Source organism: Homo sapiens, chromosome 1 (genome assembly GCF_000001405.40).
Source record: "Homo sapiens chromosome 1, GRCh38.p14 Primary Assembly".
NCBI classification, from domain to species: Eukaryota; Metazoa; Chordata; class Mammalia; order Primates; family Hominidae; genus Homo; species Homo sapiens.
In genome coordinates, this window is record NC_000001.11 from 107,825,872 (window position 1) to 107,844,824 (window position 18,953).

At 37.7% G+C, this 18,953-nt stretch overlaps 1 protein-coding gene across 8 annotated transcripts in view; it reads right to left on the reverse strand.

Annotated features, from left to right (window-relative positions):
- The window catches only part of VAV3 (vav guanine nucleotide exchange factor 3), a 394,020-nt gene that overhangs the window by 254,711 nt on the left and 120,356 nt on the right, over window positions 1-18,953 (reverse strand). The window contains exon 1 of one of the 8 annotated variants that reach the window (XM_047430476.1): window positions 1,468-1,486. The exons of the other annotated variants lie outside the window; for them this stretch is intronic. The gene's annotated coding sequence lies outside the window, so the exon portion shown is untranslated. Of the gene's footprint in view, window positions 1-1,467; window positions 1,487-18,953 lie in introns of those variants that run through there. 8 annotated transcript variants of the gene reach the window in all.

The following is an 18,953-nucleotide window of genomic DNA, read 5'->3' on the forward strand; positions in this document are numbered from 1 at the left end:
AAATACTGCCTTACAATGTTGTAAATTTATCTACACATTTACTATATTGTAAATCCCTATCTATACAGTTAGGTTATAGGCAACCTGGAGGAAAGGAATCATTTCTTATAATCCTTTATCCCCTTCAGCAACAGTAATAGATGAGAATGCACAGAGAGGCATATGTACTCTTAATGAAATGCGGAATCAACAATAACAAGGTCTCCACTTGTACAAGTTTATCTTGTTATTGTCTTAAGGTTAGTAGATTTAACTTAAGGAGCTAAATCTACTAACTTCTACTACTTACCAAATACTGCCTTGCAATGTTGTAAATTTGTCTACACATTTACTATATTGTAAATCCCTATCTACACGATTAGGTTATAATAGGCAAGCTGGAGGAAAAGAATCATTTGCTCCATTACGCTACTTGCTATGCAGATTTGAAACCTGTAAGATTGAAAATTCTTATTTAACTGTAAGTTATAACTCACATTTCTAAGGTTGAATATTTGTTTCTCTTTACCTCATTGCTTACTAGCCTTAGGGAGTCATCAACCCTTCCAAGTTGAGCTTTATATTTGTAAACAGCGATAATAAGAATATGAGCCCTCCTGCATTATAGTTCACAGTAGAGCTCAATGCAATAAAGTAAGTGTCGTTTTTGGAAAAAATGAAAATTGCCACAAAAGGTATGAGGTCATACTTTCATTACTGCTCTAGTGTACTGCAGTTCACTGGCAGACAGTTGGCAAACTGATGAACTTCCAATGTTAGCGAAAGTCAAGGGCTATTCCAGGCACTTAAGCTTCATGATACTCAACAGACAGGTCAACTGATCATTACAGCCAAAGTGCTCTCACAAAAGGCCCTGTTACAGAGGCTACGAAGGTGAAGTCTTCGAACTCCTGTCTGCAGTAATCAAATTGATTTTGCTTATAGAATCTGAAACCAGTATTAATGTAAAGAAAGAAACAAACGGAAAATAAAGGGTGTAATGTCAGCCCGAGTCTATATTTTTTAAAGCAGATAAACAGCTTAATATCTAAGCACTAAATATTATCACTTGTTTCAGTTTTTTATATTAAAAAGATAATATTTTAATAGTATCTACCATTTGCTGTATAAATCTTATAAAAATATTTAGTAAAAAAATATGAATGACCTAAAAGTTAGTATGCTGTAATAGTTTCTCATACTTTCTTTCATGTATTTTTTGTCTTCTCCACAAAATTTTAATATGCATGTATTTTTAGTTTTATCTACCTGTTTTCTACCCTGAACTACCTATGACGACATTCAGTCAAGGGTCCTCTGAGCTAAATAAAATTTTCTGTGACTAAGCCAGACAGAGGTAACATGAAAGAACTACTTACTACTATTAAGGAATGGAAAGGACAGCACTATTTGACACTTAGTTCTTCCCTTCTCTCAAATCCCTCTTCCTTCCTTATTCTCCAGGTGTGAGTTTAAAGAACAACTTACAAATGAGGTCACTGTTCCTTGTACTTCACATTTTCAAACTCTCATCACACTCATCAGGGTGTATCTCTCCCACCTAGATCCTATGAAGAAATGTGAGTGGGATATAGTTCATTTAGATGGATTTATAACTGGCTGAAATATCACACCCAAGAAACAGTGATTAACAATTGATTGATACAAGGAGAGAAAACTCTAGGAAGTAGATTAGCATTGCCCCAGCTGCCCAAGTCAGACATGATCAAAGAACTCATTTAACTCGATCAAGGACCTGGCCACAGAATCCTTTCCAATAATGTTCCAGAAAGCTATTACCAACAAATAGCATTGGCAGATGACATCAAACATATCTGAAGTTCCTGGATTAGGTTTTCTGAGGAATTATGTCCTTGCTTTTATCCAATTTGAGGTTTTTTAACCATTGATTTTATTTGAAACAGTCTTATTTCTGTGAGTGATTAAAATTTTTAATAAAGGACCTTATGAGAAGTCAGAATCAAAATTCAAATGGGAGCTAAAATATTTTATTAGTATCTTGAATTTATTTCATACTAGTTAATGGTCAATTCCTATTCTAGACCAACTAGAGGCTTGAGAATTACTTGGAAGGGCCTATCAACTATACATCCACCCACAGATGATCTGGGACATGGGAGTCAAGACCAGACTCAACACACCCCAAGACATGCAGTCACAAAATTGCTAAGCATTCTGGGCAGCATTCTGGATACTCCTGAATCAAGACAGTTTTGGTGAGTGAATTTGAAGGGCTAAATAGTACACAGCGAGATTCATTCTGGCATTTAGCTCCTCTCTGGAACATCTGGTGCTCAGACATCAGTTAAAAAGCTCTCTCTGGGTGGCTCTCTTTACCTGTTCTTGCGTTAAATATCGAGGAAGAAGAGTCAAGTTGTTTCTGCCTTTCAAGCGTACAAGATTCAGTGATATAAAGGGCACTTACCACCTGAAAAAAGACCTAGGCTGTAAGGCAGAAGGCCTGAGGTCTAGGCCTGGCTTATCCTCTAACATAGTGAGTATATTAGTTTTCTATACTGCTGTAACAAATTACCACAAATGTATGGCCTAAATCAACTCTTATTATCTTATATTTCTGTAAGTCAGAAAATCAACATGCATCTCACTTAAGCCAGTGAGACGCATGTTGAATTTTTGACTTACAAAAATCACGGGGTTGGCAGGGTAGTATCCCTTTCTGGAGATTCTATCGGATAATTCTTTTCTATGCCTGTTCCACCTTCCAGAGACTGCCCACAATCCAGATATTATGGACACATAGCCCTCTTCCTCCATCTTCAAAGCCTGCAGTGGAGCATCTCTCTCCAAGCCAGTTGGAAAAGGTTCTCTGCTTTTCAGGACCCATATGATTACATTGGGCCCACCCAGATAATCCAAGATAATCTACTCATCTCAAGGTCCTTGTCTTTATCACATCTGCAAAGTCCTTTTTGCCATGTAAGGTAACATATTCATCAGTTTCAAGGTTAAGATATGGACATCTTAGGGAGGCCATTATCCTGTCTACAAATGATCAATCTTGAAAACATCAACTTACCTCTGTGATAACACCTGCAAAATGAGAAGTCTGAACTACATCATTTGCAAAGCCCCTTTCAGCCCTATTTTATGCAGGTGAGTAAATGTCAAGAATTCTAACAAGAAGCTTCTCACATAACAAATTACGGATGCTGGAAAGCAGCATGCACACTCTGCTTTCCTTTCCAGCCATGTAAATTGGTCCATTTGCCATGATGAGCCAATTACACAGAGAGATGTTAGTAAAATAAACTAAATGATTTGTGAAAAGAATTACAATAGGACAATTACAAATCTACTGCTAGTCTCCAGAGCAAATGAAAGGGGATGATAGTGCTGCTTACTACAGCACTATTGTATTTTAAATCTGGGTTGACTCACTGTATGATATTGTTAAAGTCAAACAATTGTCCCTCAACCATCTGTTCCCCTGATTTATATAGCTTTTATGTGGGCTCCTCTCCTAGCTGCATTCTGTCAGCAAGCCATGTAAAAATACAAAGTCATTACCATGCTCTACATTAAAGTGTATTAGAATTAATTCTGAACATAAAACCTAGGAGATTAAAGTTTATTTATACCAACTCATTTTTACTTCAAGCATAAAGTACACCATTAAGTACTAACAGTATTTTAGTTTCTGTGTGGGCACTTCCTTTGCACAGACCACAGTCCTGTACAGTATTTCCTGTAAAATAACCACAGTATTTTTTTTCTCATAATGGGGGCATTTGGCAGCTGCAGTCACAAGTAGCTTAACAAAGTTGACTTTATTTACTTTAGCCTAAGACATCCACCTAGAAACTCAAATGCATATATGAGAACTAAAAAATGTGAAACTTCAATTTTTAAATCTTAAAAACAATATTTACAATGTCAGTCTAGCTTACATTGCTTTTAATTATGGAACATGTTCAATGTCAAAAGAGATCGCAGATTTGCTCCATATCATTTAATCAGAACAAACAAGGAGCCTTTCATACATCCCTTTGGAATGATTTTTCCCACAAGCAACCGAGAGATAAGATATCTGCTATTTTACTCAGTATATACAAGTTTTATTTCATTTAAAGAACTAAATTTAAGTGAAACAGTATATAGAAGCACTCCATGTTAATGAGCAAAACTACTTAAAACTCCTTAACCAAAGATTTAGATTCCCCTTTGAAGAAAAGTTCCTTTCACCTTTTAAAATTCAGCAGGCTTTAAAGGCCATTGTCAGAAAAGTCTGAGAACCAGAAAACAGGTTCTAGAAACTATGAGTTTCTCATGCACATAAGATCATGCACTATTTAGTGAATAAGACATAATTACACACTTTTTTTTTTTTTGAGACAAAGTCTTGCTCTATCACCCAGGGTGGAGGGCAGTGATGCAATCATAGCCCACTACAGCCTCCAGTTCCTGGCCTCAAGAGATCCTCGTGCCTCAGCCTCCTGAGAAGCTGGGACTACAGGCATGGACCACCAAGATCAGCCAATTTGTTTTAAAATTTTTTGTAGAGATGGGTCTCACTATTGTGGAGTCCTGATAATGTAAGTAAGCAAAAATGAGGTAGGGGTTCCAGGTGGGGGAGAACAATTGCTCTGAGAGACAACTTATCACAAACAACCCGCTGGCACAACTACCTCTCACTTCACAGGTAGCCCCAGCAGCATGACCTCATTCTGCACATAGCCCCCTCCAGCATGACCCTATAAAACATCCCTCCAGCCCCTGCCTCTTTGCAGACATCCCCTTCTCTGCTGTGCTGCCTGTCACACCCTTCCAACATATCTTTGCTCATTCTCTAATAAATCTGCCTTTCTTTACCTACGATTGTCTTGGTAAATTCTTTACCATCTGCAATGCTGGCCCCAGGCAATCACAGGGTGACAACTATGTTACCAGGCTGGCCTTGAAATCCTGGCTTCAAGCAATCCTCCTACCTTGGGAGGATCCCAAAGTACTGGGATTACAAGTGTGAGCCACCGCAGCTGGCTTATAAAAATTAAGTTTAATTTGTATATCGTGTTATATCTGTATTAGTTTAAAACTAGCTGATTATTCCAAAACTTGTGATAGTGACTTCCACTTAAAATCTTCACTCACTATAAGTAAAGCTCAGATGTGGGGAATAACCACAAATACTTCTACAGGTTGAGTATCCCTTATCTGAAATGCTTGGGACCAGAAGTGTTTTAGATTCCAGATTTTCTATTTCAGATGCTCAACCAGTAATAAGATCTTGCTAAAACAGTAGGTAAATGATAGCAAAAATTTTCGGGTTTTGTGAGTTTAAAAAAAAAAGAATATTAGGACTTTTCAGTATAGTCTTTTAAATTGTTTTTATAAACAATACATGAAAAAATATGTGGAAAATACTTTAAAATAATATATGACATATATCTCTATACAATAATACCAATTTGATATTACCAACTCAAGGTTAATGGAACTGAGTGAATTAAAACTGTTTTCGTGTCATTTCAGAAAAGAAAAGGCTATCAAAATTGACAGGGAAATGCAAAATGAGCAAAGATAAGCATAGTTTTACAGGCAAATTCAAATAAGTAGAAATTTTTCTTCCATATATATTGCAATGTTTATTCCCAATATTATTCTCTGGAATGATCTTTTCTCTCCTCACAATTCATATTTAACCTTAATAGTTCATCTCAAGCTTTACTTCATCTTTAATCTCTTAACTAGTTTTCTCTCCATTGATTTTCTGCCCTTTTGTTCATGTTGCTCATTTGAGTATTTGGATATATCCTTCCTTGCACATTTATGAGTATATTTTATCCACAATGAGAATGTACACTTGTTCAGAGCAGAGCTTATGTTTTAAACCTCTATTTTTGGGATATTCTGGCTCCCAGCATCATGCTAGTATATAATAGACTCAATATACACTTAATAGCTTTACATTCGTTTTAGACATATTCTCATGTAACCATAGTAAAAACCAGAATTTTTTTCCACAATTCAGTAGAAAGGTTCTGCTGAGATTAGGTATGTAAAATTGCACCACATTTGGAAAAGCTCCTTGAGGAATCTTGACCAGTCACTGATACAGAACCTAAACCACAGCCTTGCCTACAACATCTATTCAACCCATAAGAACTTACTGAATTGGATCACAGGATTGACTTAAAACAACAAGATGAGCATGAGCTTGGAAGCAAATGCAATCATCCAGGTGTGAAGTAAAGTCAGTCTCATCTGGCAAGTAACCATGGAAGTGGCAGTGAAGGGATGGCAAGGACTTGGCAGCCATGGGGACTGATCTGGTTATAAGAGCAACACAAACATGGCCAGGGAAACGTTGCTAATGATCTAATGGACTAATGGACCTTAGTTCTCTCCTCTTGGAAATTAGAAGATGGTAATTAAAGATGTCTCTCTCCTTCAGCTTCTAAATATAATGCCGGAGGAAGCATATAGACTCACTGTGAACAAGCAGGTGCCTGGAGAGTCAGCAAATGCATCGGCAGAGCAGTTACAATGATAAGAACAGGAAGAACCTTCGAAAATGTTTGGAATTCGTGGACCGGGTCTTTAACAGTCTGAACAATGACCTGCGAGTCTCACAGCAATCCAAAAGGCAGTCCCACTGACTGCCTTCTATTTCTTCATGGCAGCATTTTCAAAATCATCATTTTCATTTCTATCTGAGTCTTTTATAAAATAATTTAAAACACAAACTCCAAATTACTAAAGCTTATTTTTTAATTTATGAACTCTTCCAACTGTCTAATATCCAGGATGTAGTATAATAGGTGTCTTTAACACCTCGGTAGAAATGGCTCCCCTTGTGTCTACCTTGCAATTAATTTATGTTTTCCAAAGTGTTGATGCTTCAATATTCATATTTAAGCTATGGAAATTTTAAAAACAGTAACGCTGTAGAAAATGTAAGCCATTGATTACATTGTACAAAATGTAAACTGCTGAATCATAAGTTAGGAAGAGCAAATAACATACACACATTGTTAATTGAATGCATTCATGCTAGAAAAAGGTCTATGATTCAAAGAACCATACTATTCTATTTTGTGTGCTTGGAATTTTCACTATCAAAAGTTTTAAAAAGTTTGATATAACAGTGAAAATCTAATGAGAAATACATGATTTTTTTCGCAACTAGAAAATCATAGCAAAAAATCATAAAGATAAAATAATTATGAAGATCAAGCATTAACATTTACATTAAGCTTAGCGAGGAAGGCATGTCAAAAGCTGAGGCAAGTCAAAAACTAGGCCTCTTGTGCCAGTTAGACAAGTAGTGAATGTAAAGGAAAAGTTATTGAAGGAAATTAAAGCTGCTACTCCAGTAAATACACAAATGATAAGAAAGTGAAACAGCTTTATTACTGACACAGTGAAAGTTTTCGTGGTCTGGATAGATCAGATCAGCCACAACATTCCCTTAAGCCAAAACATAACTCAAGGCCCTAACTCTCTTCCATTCTGTGAAGGCTGAGAAAGGTGAGGAAACTGTAGAAGAAAAGTTTGAAGCTAACAGAGGTTGGTTCATAAGGTTTTAAGAAAGAAGTCATCTTCATAACATAATTTTAAAATGATGTTAGACCAATCCTTTTTAAAGAAAATATTATCACGTATTTGTTCAAATCTCTCTTCTATACTTTTTCACTTATAACTGAGACTAACAAAATTTTAGAAATTTTTTTTTCTAATTTTTACTTATGTATGTCTATACTTACCTACAACATTCTAGGTTTATCTTTTCCAAAAGTTCATACTCTTTTTCAAGGGATGAGTTCTGAATATTCAGGAATCAATTATACAGTGTGTTTATGACGTGTGGTCAGTGCCTATTTCACTCCCTGTAACCCCACCAAGCAATAGTGAAATGTTCTTGTTATTGTGAAGCTAGCAAAGGTCTAGGGAGTCACTTGGATGACAAGGGTGGCTTCAAAAATGGTGCTAAAATTATTACATGAATCGTAATTAATAATTCCATTCAAGTTCTTCCTTGACTACTACAAGTAATCAAGCACTAGCCATGGCAATGCTTACTCGCATGCAATTTTGTTCACAGTGTCCACTCCTTAGGTTCATTGCTCACATGAGACAGTATCAGATCTCAATAAACCATAACATACTTTTAGTTCTTTTTCAAAAGTAAAACACTTTCACTCACTTTAAGATATTTAGAAACTATAGAGAACTGTAAAGCAGAACCAGGTGTTTTAACTACAGTCAACAATTTGCTGTAAATAATTCTTGTTTTCTCATTATGCAATTTTGTGTGGCCATATATAAACCCATTTTACATTTAAAAATTGCACCCTTATGGACACACACAGAAGAAACATCTCTTAAAGGGAAATAAATGCATGATACACCCGTAAATTATTCCAAAACCACATATACCTGTTCTGAATGTCTTTAGTACCCAATGTCTCTGCTGTTGTCAAGTCATAAATTAGCCCCCTTCAGGATTAGCTCTCATAACTCTTAAACCACTGGGCCCCATGCAGTGCTCTAAGGCAGGAATTTTAAAAATGTTCCATTGCATAAAATCAGTAAGGACACAGGAAAATAACTACAGGAAATTGGAATATTCAATTGACAATCTGGAGTACTGTCAATTAGATCAAGTTATTTGATAACTCTACACAATAGCAGAATACGCATTCTGATCAAGCTCACATGGAATAGTCATCATGACAGACCACATTCCAGGCCACAAAACATACCTTAATGGGAGGAATGGGGACAAGATGGCCAACTAGATGCAGCCAGGAAGCCCCTCTCCCACCAAGAGAGACCAAAATATTGAGTAAACCAACATACTTTGAACAGATCTTTGGAGAGAAAGCAATGAGAGTCAATAGAGAGGCAATGCAAACACCAGGGCTGATGAGGAAGGAAGCTGGGAACTCTGCATGGGGTTGCTGAATGCCAGGACTAGTTCCTGGCCTTGAACAGCTCCTAAGGAAGAAGTGAGTGAAGTGACTGTGGGACAACCTACTCTCACCATGGACCTCTGGGATCCTAGCTACAGGAGATCCCATGACCCCCACAGGCTTCTGAACTGACAGGGGCATCTGTCCAGAGAGTAGAAAGAGACAGAGCTCCAGCCTGCATGGAACCCAGGGGTTTTACACATAGGGCAGCTACAGCAAAATGCTCTAATAAGCACCCATCATTCAAGGCTCTCCATCTTCCTCCAAGTAGCTGTAACCCCTGCTGACTGCTAGGCCAGGAGAGAGTAGGGCTATATTTTCTGCAGGACTGGGGCACATCTGTACTGCATGCTCCCCTGTCCACCAGCCGCTATCAAGGCCCCTGCCTGGCTGCTCCCACAAGAGCATGCACACCGCACAGGTTCCATTACCCAGCCTCAGTGCCTTGCCATGGCCCCACATGAGTGCTTTCCTGGAGGCCTAGGAGCACTATGGCTACCCTAGCACAGCTGGTGCCAAGCAGCTAAAGGACAAAGCCTCAGGCTTGTGGCAACCCCCCAGGTTAGAGCAGATGGCTCAGGAGTGACAAGCTGAGATCTATGGCTGGTCCTCAAGCAGGGAAAGAGCACCCACTCTGAACACTGAGAAGAGTGAGATGTGCGGTTTGTGGGCCAGTGTGAGAGCTGGGCATGCCTCCCTCTGCGGGGCTGGTCTGGGAACAGTGTGGTCTATCTGCTAGCTGCAGCCTCTGCCCAATGTAGCCTCATGGCCTAGAACACTTAACAGCCCAATGATCTGGGCAAAGAAAGTTTGGGAAAAAACTAGCAGGTAGGGACAGATTCTACAGTAGCCACCAGAAGGAGATCAGTCAATGGAGAGCAAGCTGGAGGTCCCCACAGCTGTCTGCAGGGCAAAAAACCCCGGCCCATAGGCACCATACCATCTGCACAGCCACAGCATCACTGCTCTGCCCAAAGATCCCCCACCCTTGACCTCTTACATCAACAGACCACCTATGGACATACTCCACAACCCATTCTGACTGTGCCAAGCACAGAGGACCAGCAGACCTCCGGAATTCTGCAGGTTTCTGGCAATCTAACCTTCAGCTCAGGCTGCCCCTAAGGGAAGGGGAAGCACAGCCCATTAGGACATTCCTTAGGGCTAGGGAAACACAGGCATGGTGCCTAAATATATATACACCTAACACTGGAGCATCCAGATTCATAAAACAAGTTTTTAGAGACCCACGAAAAGACAGGCACAAAATAATAGTGAAAGATGTCAACACTCCACTGACAGCATTAGACAGATCATCGAGGCAGAAACCTAACAAAGAAATTATGGACTTAAACTTAACACTTGACAAATTGGACCTAATAGACATTGACAGAATACTCAACCCAACAATCACAGAATATACAATCTTCTCATCTACACACAAAACATAATCTAAGATTGACCATATGTTTAGCCATAAAGCAAGTCTCAATAAATTCAAACAACTTACTCCTGAATGATTTTAAGGTAAACAACAAAATGAAGGTGGAAATCAAAAAATCTTTGAAATTAATGAAACAGAATTACAACATACCAAAATACTTGGGATATAATGAGAGTAGTTTTAAGAGGAAAGTTTATAGCACTAAATGCCTACATCAAAAAGTTTAAAAGTTCTCAAATTAACAATCTAACACTGCACCTACAGGAACTGGAAAAACAAGAACAAAACAAGCTCAAAACTAGCAGAAGAAAAGAAATAAAATCAGCGAAGAACTAAATGAAACTGAGATGCAAATACACATCTAAAAAGTCAACAAAAACAAAAGTTGGTTCTTTGAAAGAATAAATAAGATTGTTAGACCACTGTCTAGATGAACAAAAACAGAAAAGATACAGATAAGCATGATCAAAAATGGCAGATGACATTACCACTGATCCTACCAAAACATAAAAGAACCTCAGACTATTATGAATACCTCTATGCATACAAATTAGAAAAGCTAGAGGAAATATATAAACTCCTAGAATAACACAACCTCCAAGATTGAACCAGAAAGAAATTGAAAACCTGAACAGATCAGTAACACATTCTGAAATTGAATCAGTAATAAGAAACCTACCAACAAAAAAAAACAGGTGGATTCACAGCCAAATTCTTCCTGATGTACAAAGAAAAACTGGTACCAGTCCTGCTGAAGCTGTTCCCAAAAAATCAAAGAGGAAGGACTCCTCCCTAACTGACTCTACAAAGCCAGCATCATCCTAATACCAAAACCTGGCAGAGAAACAATGGGCAAAAAAAAACAAAACGAAACAAAACTTCAAGCTGATATCCCTGATGAATATAGATGCAGAAATCCTTAACAAAATACTAGCAAACCAACTCTAGAAGCACATCAAAAAGTTAGTTTACCATGATGAAGGAGGCCTTATTCCTGGGATGCAATGTTGGTTCAACATATGCAAATCAATAAATGTGATTCACCACATAAATAGAACTAAAATCAAAAACCATACGATCATCTCAATAGACACAGAAAAAAACTTTGAATAAAATCTAACATCCTTTTATGATAAAAACTCTCAATAGACTAGGCATTGAAGGAACATTTCCTGATTGGAAAAATCAGTATCATTAAAATGGCCATACTGTCCAAAGCAATTTACAGATTCAACACTACTCCTATCAAACTAGCAATGTCATTTTTCACAGAATTAGATAAAAACTACCCTGAAATTCATATGGAACCAAAAAAGAGCCCAAATAGCCAAAGCAATCTTAAGCAAAAGGAACAAAGCCAAAGGCATCACATTACCCAACTTGAAACTACACTACAAGGCTACAGTAACCAAAACAGCATGGTACTGATACAAAAAGTGACACATAGACCAATGAAACAGAATACAGAACCAATAAATAAAGCTGCACACCTACAACTATCTGATCTTTGACAAAGTCAGTGAAAATCAGAAAAGGGGGAAAGAATCCCTTTTCAATAAATGGTACTGGCATTACTGGCTAGCCATACACAGGAGAATGGAACTGGACTCCTACCTATCACCATATACAAAAATCAACTCGAGATGGATTGAAGACTTAAATGTAAGACCTCAAACTGTAAAAATCCTAGAAGAAAACCTAGGAAATACTCTTCTCAACATGGGACCTGGCAAATAATTCATGGTCAAGTTCTCAAAAGCAATTGTGACAAAAACAGAAATTGACAAATAGGACCTAATTAACCTAAAGAGCTTCTGCACAGTAGGAGAAACTATCAACAGAGTAAACAAACTACAGAATGGAAGAATATATTCGCAAACTATGCATCCGACAAAGTTCTAATAACCAGAATCTATCAGGAACTTAAATGAATCAAGAAGAATATATTCGCAAACTATGCATCCGACAAAGCTCTAATAGCCAGAAGCTATCAGGAACTTAAATAAATCAAGCACAAAACAGGAACTCCATTGAAAAGTGAGCAAAGGACATGAACAGACCCTTCTCAAAAGAGAACACACAAGTCTCCAACAAACATAAATGTTCAACATCACTAATCAGAGAAATGCACATCAAAACCAGAATGAGATACAAACTCACATCTGGTCAGGGTGGCTTTTATTAAAAAGACAAAAAATAACAAATGTTGGCAAGGCTGTGGAGAAAAGAGAACACTTTTACACTGTTGATGGAAATGCAAACTAGCCCAGCCACTGTGGAGAGCAGTTTGGAGATTTCTCAAAGAACTAAAGAGTCAAGTTGAACTACCATTCAATCCAGCAATCCAATTACTGGGTATACAACCAAAGGAAAATAAATCATTCTACCTAGAGACACATGCATCCGTACATTCATTGCAGCACTATTCACAATAGCAAAGACATGAAATCAACCCAAGTGCCCAACAACGGTAGACCAGATAAGAAATTGTACACCATGGGATACTGTGCAGCCCTAAAATAAAAAGAATAAAATCATGTCCTTTGCAGCAGCATAGATGGTGCTGGAGCGTATTAGCCTAGGTGAACTAACACAGAAACAGAAAATCAAATAATGCATGTTCTCACTTACAAGTAGGAGCTAAACATGAGGTATATGTGGACATAAAGATGGGAACAATAGGCACTGAGGACTACTAGAGCAAGGAGAGGAGAGAGGCAAGGGCTGAAAAACTACCTATTGAGTACTATGCTCACTACCTGGGTGACAGATTCCTTTGTACTCTAAATCTTGGTATCACACAATATACCTCTGTAACAAACCTGCACATGTACCCCCAAATCTAAAATAAAAGTTTGAAAGAAAAGGAAAAATTAAAAGAATACTGTAGTAGTCAAATGCATAAGTTAGCATTTCTTGCCAATTTGCTCAGCTTTATAGGGCAGAGGCTGATTTAATTCATCATGTAAACTGACTTTGTCTTCTTCAAGCTTATGACCAAATACAAAACTGATAACCTATTTTATTATAAAAATAATTACTGAATAAAACATACCTTAACAGAATAGAAATCATATAAAGTATGTTCTCAGACAATATGGAACTAAACTAGAAATCAACAACAGAAAGATAGCTAGAAAATGTCTAGATATCTGTTAATTAAAGAACACACTCAAGTAACTTATGAGTCGAAAAATTCACAAATGAACTTTGAAATATTTTAACTACATGAAAATCAAGCTACAAGTTGTCTAAATGCATGAGATGCAGCAAAAATTGGTCCTTAGAGAAAAATTTATAGCATTAAATGCATATATTAAACCAGAAAAAATATCTAAAATTAATAATCTAAAGCTTCCACCCTAGGAAACTAGAGAAAGAACAACTTAAGCTTAGAGCAGACAGAATAAAAGAAATACTAAAAATTAGAGCAGGAATCAACAAAATTGGAAACAGGTAAACAATAGGAGGAACCAATAAAACCAAAAGATGGTTCTTTGAAAAGATCAATAAAACTGATAAACTTCCAGCTAAGCAAACCAAGAAAAAAGAAAGATGACACAAATTGCTAATATCAGAAATAAAGGAGAGATCATTACTACTAATTCCATGGACACTGAAACGATAACAAGGGAATACAATGAACAACACTATGCCCACAAATTTGATAACTTAGGTGAAACAGGCCAATTCCTTGAAAGACACAAACTCACACAGGAGAAATAGATAATACCAACAGACCTGTATCAGCTAAAGAAGTCGAATTAATAATTAATAACCTTCCAAAAGAAAACATCAAGCCCAGATGGTTTCACTAGTGAATTCTACCAAACGTTCAAGGAAAATATAATCCACAATTTCTTCCAGAAAATAGAAAGAATACTTCCTAAAGTTCTCTATAGAAACTTGTAAATGTTTTGCTGTTAGCCTGTAAATGTTGTAATGTTGTAAATGTAATGTTGTAAATGTTGTAAATGTTACAGTGTTAGCAGTGTAAATCACTGCTTTAAATTCAATACATAAAAAGTTGGTGCTTCAATATGCTAGAAAGCATTTAGGTCACTTTTTACTTGCTACAAAACAACATGTATATTTTAAAGTTGTGCAAAGACCTTTCTTGATTGGCACCACTTAAAGACAAGGTAGTAAAGGAATAGGTTATCAAAGGATGTTCATTAATAAAGTGCCTTATTCTAGACAGTCCCTGCACTTTAACAGATATAAACATTTCCCTCTCAGCCACAAATGCTCCATTCCAGAGCATTTAACCATTGGCACACATGCCAAGGGTCTTGCTTTGATGACATTTCATTGTCTATTCATATTTCACAGCCTTTCTATGATCAATCCATCAGGAAGTGCTCAAAGTTAACGTTCTTAACGTGCCCTAAAGAAACGTAAAGGAAGCAACAAAAGTTAAGTCAGGGGTTCTGGTCAAGGCAGGAAAGGAAAAAAAGTGACTAGGAACAAAAAGTAGTTGATACAAAGGAAAAGAAGAGGAGAAAGCACTGAAAGCATTTTAAAAATAAAAGGCAAACTGTCTAGTTGGCAACAGACCAAGATATAAGTACAGCATATTTCAGAGACTCCTAAAAGCAAGTGTGAAGAACTATAAACCACTGGAAGGAAGTGAAAACTCTGAGCAAGGGATCAACATGTTCAGAGATGCTTTTAAAAAAAAAAAAAATTCATCTGGCAATCAAATAGCTTATACGGGAAGGCTGGAGGCAGTGAGACCACAATGAGACTACTGCCATGGTCTTAGCTAGAAGAACTGAGGTTTAAGCTGACTGACAGCAGTGTGGTAGGGCAGAGTTGGCCAGTACCAAAGGGAGACCACTCAGGGGAATGATGATGGGAGTTCCATTATATACACCAATAGTGAATGCCATATGGTCTTAAATTCATTCATTCATACACTCAGAAAATACTAAGCATCTTCTATGTGCAGTACTGTTCTAGGATATGGTAACATAGCAGTGAATACAGCACAAAGTTCTTGTCCTCAACAAAGTTCATATTCTGGTGTATTTAGGGGAAAGGGGGGGGTAGAAAAAGAAACAATTTTAAAAGTATAAATGGTATATCAGCTGTAATAAGAAATATGGGGAAAAAAACTAAAGCAATATAAAGGGCACAGAAATTGTCAGAAGGCTGAGGAGAAACAGTAGCGGTTGCTATTTTGTTTCAAATGTTCAGAAAAGGCATCTATAACAAGGATATTTAAACAGAGATCTAAAGGAGGTGAGAAAACAATCTTTCTCCACTCCATCACTGCTTGTGGGTGCCATAGATCAAGCTATAAACATGCCCCAATTTAAAATAGGTATCATTAACATACAAAAACACAAAGTAAAAGCATTAGATAGGGCACACTTTAACTGCGATGGGAAGTAGAAATAAAACACATTTTAGGATTCAAGTATTATTTTTCATTTATTATGCTAAAATGACTAAATGACTGTTCCTCTCTCTAGGTCTGAGCTGTCCATCACTTTAGACACTTGAAATGAGGCTAGTCTAAATTGCTATGTGCTGTAAGTGTAAATACAAACTGGGTTTGGAAGAATAAGGAAAAAAAACAGAAAATATCTCATTATACTTTGTGTATTGATTACATGTTTAAATGATAATTGGGGTGCGTTGGGTTAAATAAAATGTATTATTAAAATTAATTTTTCACTTTTTAAATGTAGCAACTAGAAAATTTAAAATTACATGGCTTGCATTTATGGCTCTCATATTTCTATTAGACAGCATTATTCTAGTTTCACTACCTAGTAATAAATTTTTCTATACTACCATTGCTCATGCCCCAAATTACTCAAAAACAAAAATCAATTTAATAAGAATATTAAAGAGAATACTGAAAAACAATTTCTAGCAAATGTTTACCTTCATACTTATATTGTCTACCTAGTACCTCCCTCTTCTGAGTGTGGAACCCCTCTTCTTTAAGACATTGCTTTAAACATTTAGTTCCCAAATTCTAAAATGAGTCCACTACCTTGGACATAGCTGAATGGCAAGGGAAGGGAGTTGCGAGATGAATAGCTAAAAATAAAAAGCACTCTGCACTGTTGGCCACAGTTGAGTGGCCCAGGAGTGAACAGCTGACTCAAGGTGAGGCAACTGCAGTCCTTCCCACTGATTTTTAGTACCTCTGAATCATTTTGTTTCAGGTGTGTCTCTTATAAACAGTGTATAGTTGGGCCTTTGTGAGCCAAACTGGAAATTGTTTCGGTACTTCCACCCATCTGGTGAACTTCTGTGGCAGTAGTTTCACTTTAATCTTTGGCATCTCTTTTCTCTCCCATGCAGCTTTTTAAACTGTTCTTGTTCACAGCAAAGGTTTGAGGCAAGGTATGAGAGATAGCTCAATGAGATTTCATTCTTCTTTTTTTTAAAACTTAGTTAATTTGAAGTTTGGGTGTCCTTGGTTTTCTGGTTATGCAGGGGGTGTCATTTTTACGCATTTTAATTTTTCTTCTTGTTCTCTATCATATGTAGGATATTTTGGGAGGGGGCACAGACTTAGGCAGATATCGTTATCTGTCTAGAAATTTCTCCCGATTTTTATAACCATAGCTAAGAAACAGTCTCTCCAATGAGAGAAATATTAACATAATATGGAAATTAATGATGGTTAATTTCATTAATATGGAAATATTAACATCAAGTGTTCATATTCCTATCATGAGGAACTTTATCTATGATGAGAGCAGAAGCAGACCTACTGAGAAAAAAGTAGAGAAAAAAGACAGACAGAGAGAATGCTATTTGAATTCCTGGTTCCACTTGTTCCTGAAGTCCACCTTTACTCCGCCCTTCCCAATAGTTTGGCTGTTCCAATTTATCGTGAAACCTATGAGTCAAATTCTCCACATTATGCTCAACCTAAGGCATAATGCTCCTGGGTGGGCATTATAACTGACAGCTCTGGAATCAGGCTACTTGGATTTAAATCCTGACTCTTAAACACACATCCTGAGTAAGTTTCCTATAAACCTTTGGTGCTTCAGTTTTTGTATATATAAAATAAGGATGATAAGAGTACCTACTAATAAAATTGTCATTAGAATTTGACTAGATATGTGAAGCCCTTAGCACAACACAAATATATATATATATATATATATATAGTTAATAAACATTAGTTATTATCAGTTCTAGTGGTAGCTCAAATTGGATTTCTATCACAACTCTAAATGTTCACTAATCATCTATAGACTTTTGTCTTAGAATTACACTGTTGAGATTAAAAATGTATGTGTGCGTGTGTGTGTGTGTATATATATATATTTATATATATATATATGAGGAAGGTGGTTCAATTCACTAGCCATCTGCTGAAGTATGAGCAGGCGTATTTAAACCTCCACATTACCGAGGAATATTCAGAAGGGGCTGGAACATAGAAAGCCAAACTTCATCCCACACTGTCTGCACCAAGTTTTTTCACCCTCTCCCCCCATGGGGTTATTCCAGACTGATAAAATCAGACACGGAAAAATGCATTTTTGGGGGAGTCTTTTGCCTGTTCAGTTGTGACAGATAATCCTAGGATAAAACGTACCCCTACAGAGCGGGGAGCTTTCCACTGTGGGGGTTCAAAGAAGATGATTCTTCCTGGAAAAGGGAGAAGAGAATGAACTTCATGACAAAGAAACAAAACTGGAAACTGAGAAGTATTCATGATGAAACTATCTTATATAAGACATAACTTTAACTAACCTATAAGAGACTTTAACTTTTAAAGTTTTCTTCCTGGATTCTGGGCAAGATGGCTGAATAGGAACAGTTCCAGTCTGCAGCAACCAGTGAAACCAATGCAGAAGGCGGGTGATTTCTGCATTTCTAACTGAGGTACCCAGCTCATTTCATTGGGGCTGCTTAGACAGTGGGTACAGCCCACCGAGGGCAAGCAGAAGCAGGGTGGGGCATTCCTCACCCAGGAAGTGCAAGAGGTCAGGGAACTCCCTCCCCTAGCCAAGGGAAGCCTTGAGGGACTGTGCCACGAGGGACGGTGCTATCCGGCCCAGATACTATGTTTTTCCCACTATCTTCGCAACCCAAAGAACAGGAGATTCCATCTGGTGCCTACACCACCAGGGCCCTGGGTTTCAAGCACAAAACTGGGTGGCCATTTGGGCAGACACTGAGTTAGCTGCAGAAGTTTTTTTTCCGTACCCCAGTGGTTCCTGGAACACCAGCGAGACGGAAACATTCACTCTCCTGGAAAGGGGGCTGAAGCCAGGAAGCCGAGTGGTCTTGCTCATCAGATCCCCTGCCCATGGAGCCCCATAAGCTAAGATCCACTGGCTTGAAATTCTCCTTGCCAGCACAGCAGTCTGAAGTCGACCTGGGATGCTCCAGCTTGGTGGGGGAGGGAGGCTTGAGTAGGCAGTTTTCCCCTCACAGTATAAACAAAGCCTCCAGGAAGTTCGGACTGGGTGGAGCCCACCACAGCTCAGCAAAGCCCCTGTAACCACACTTCCTCTCTAGATTCCTCCTGTCTGTGGAGGGCATCCTCTGAAAGAAAGGCAGCCCCCAAAGTCAGGGGCTTATAGATAAAA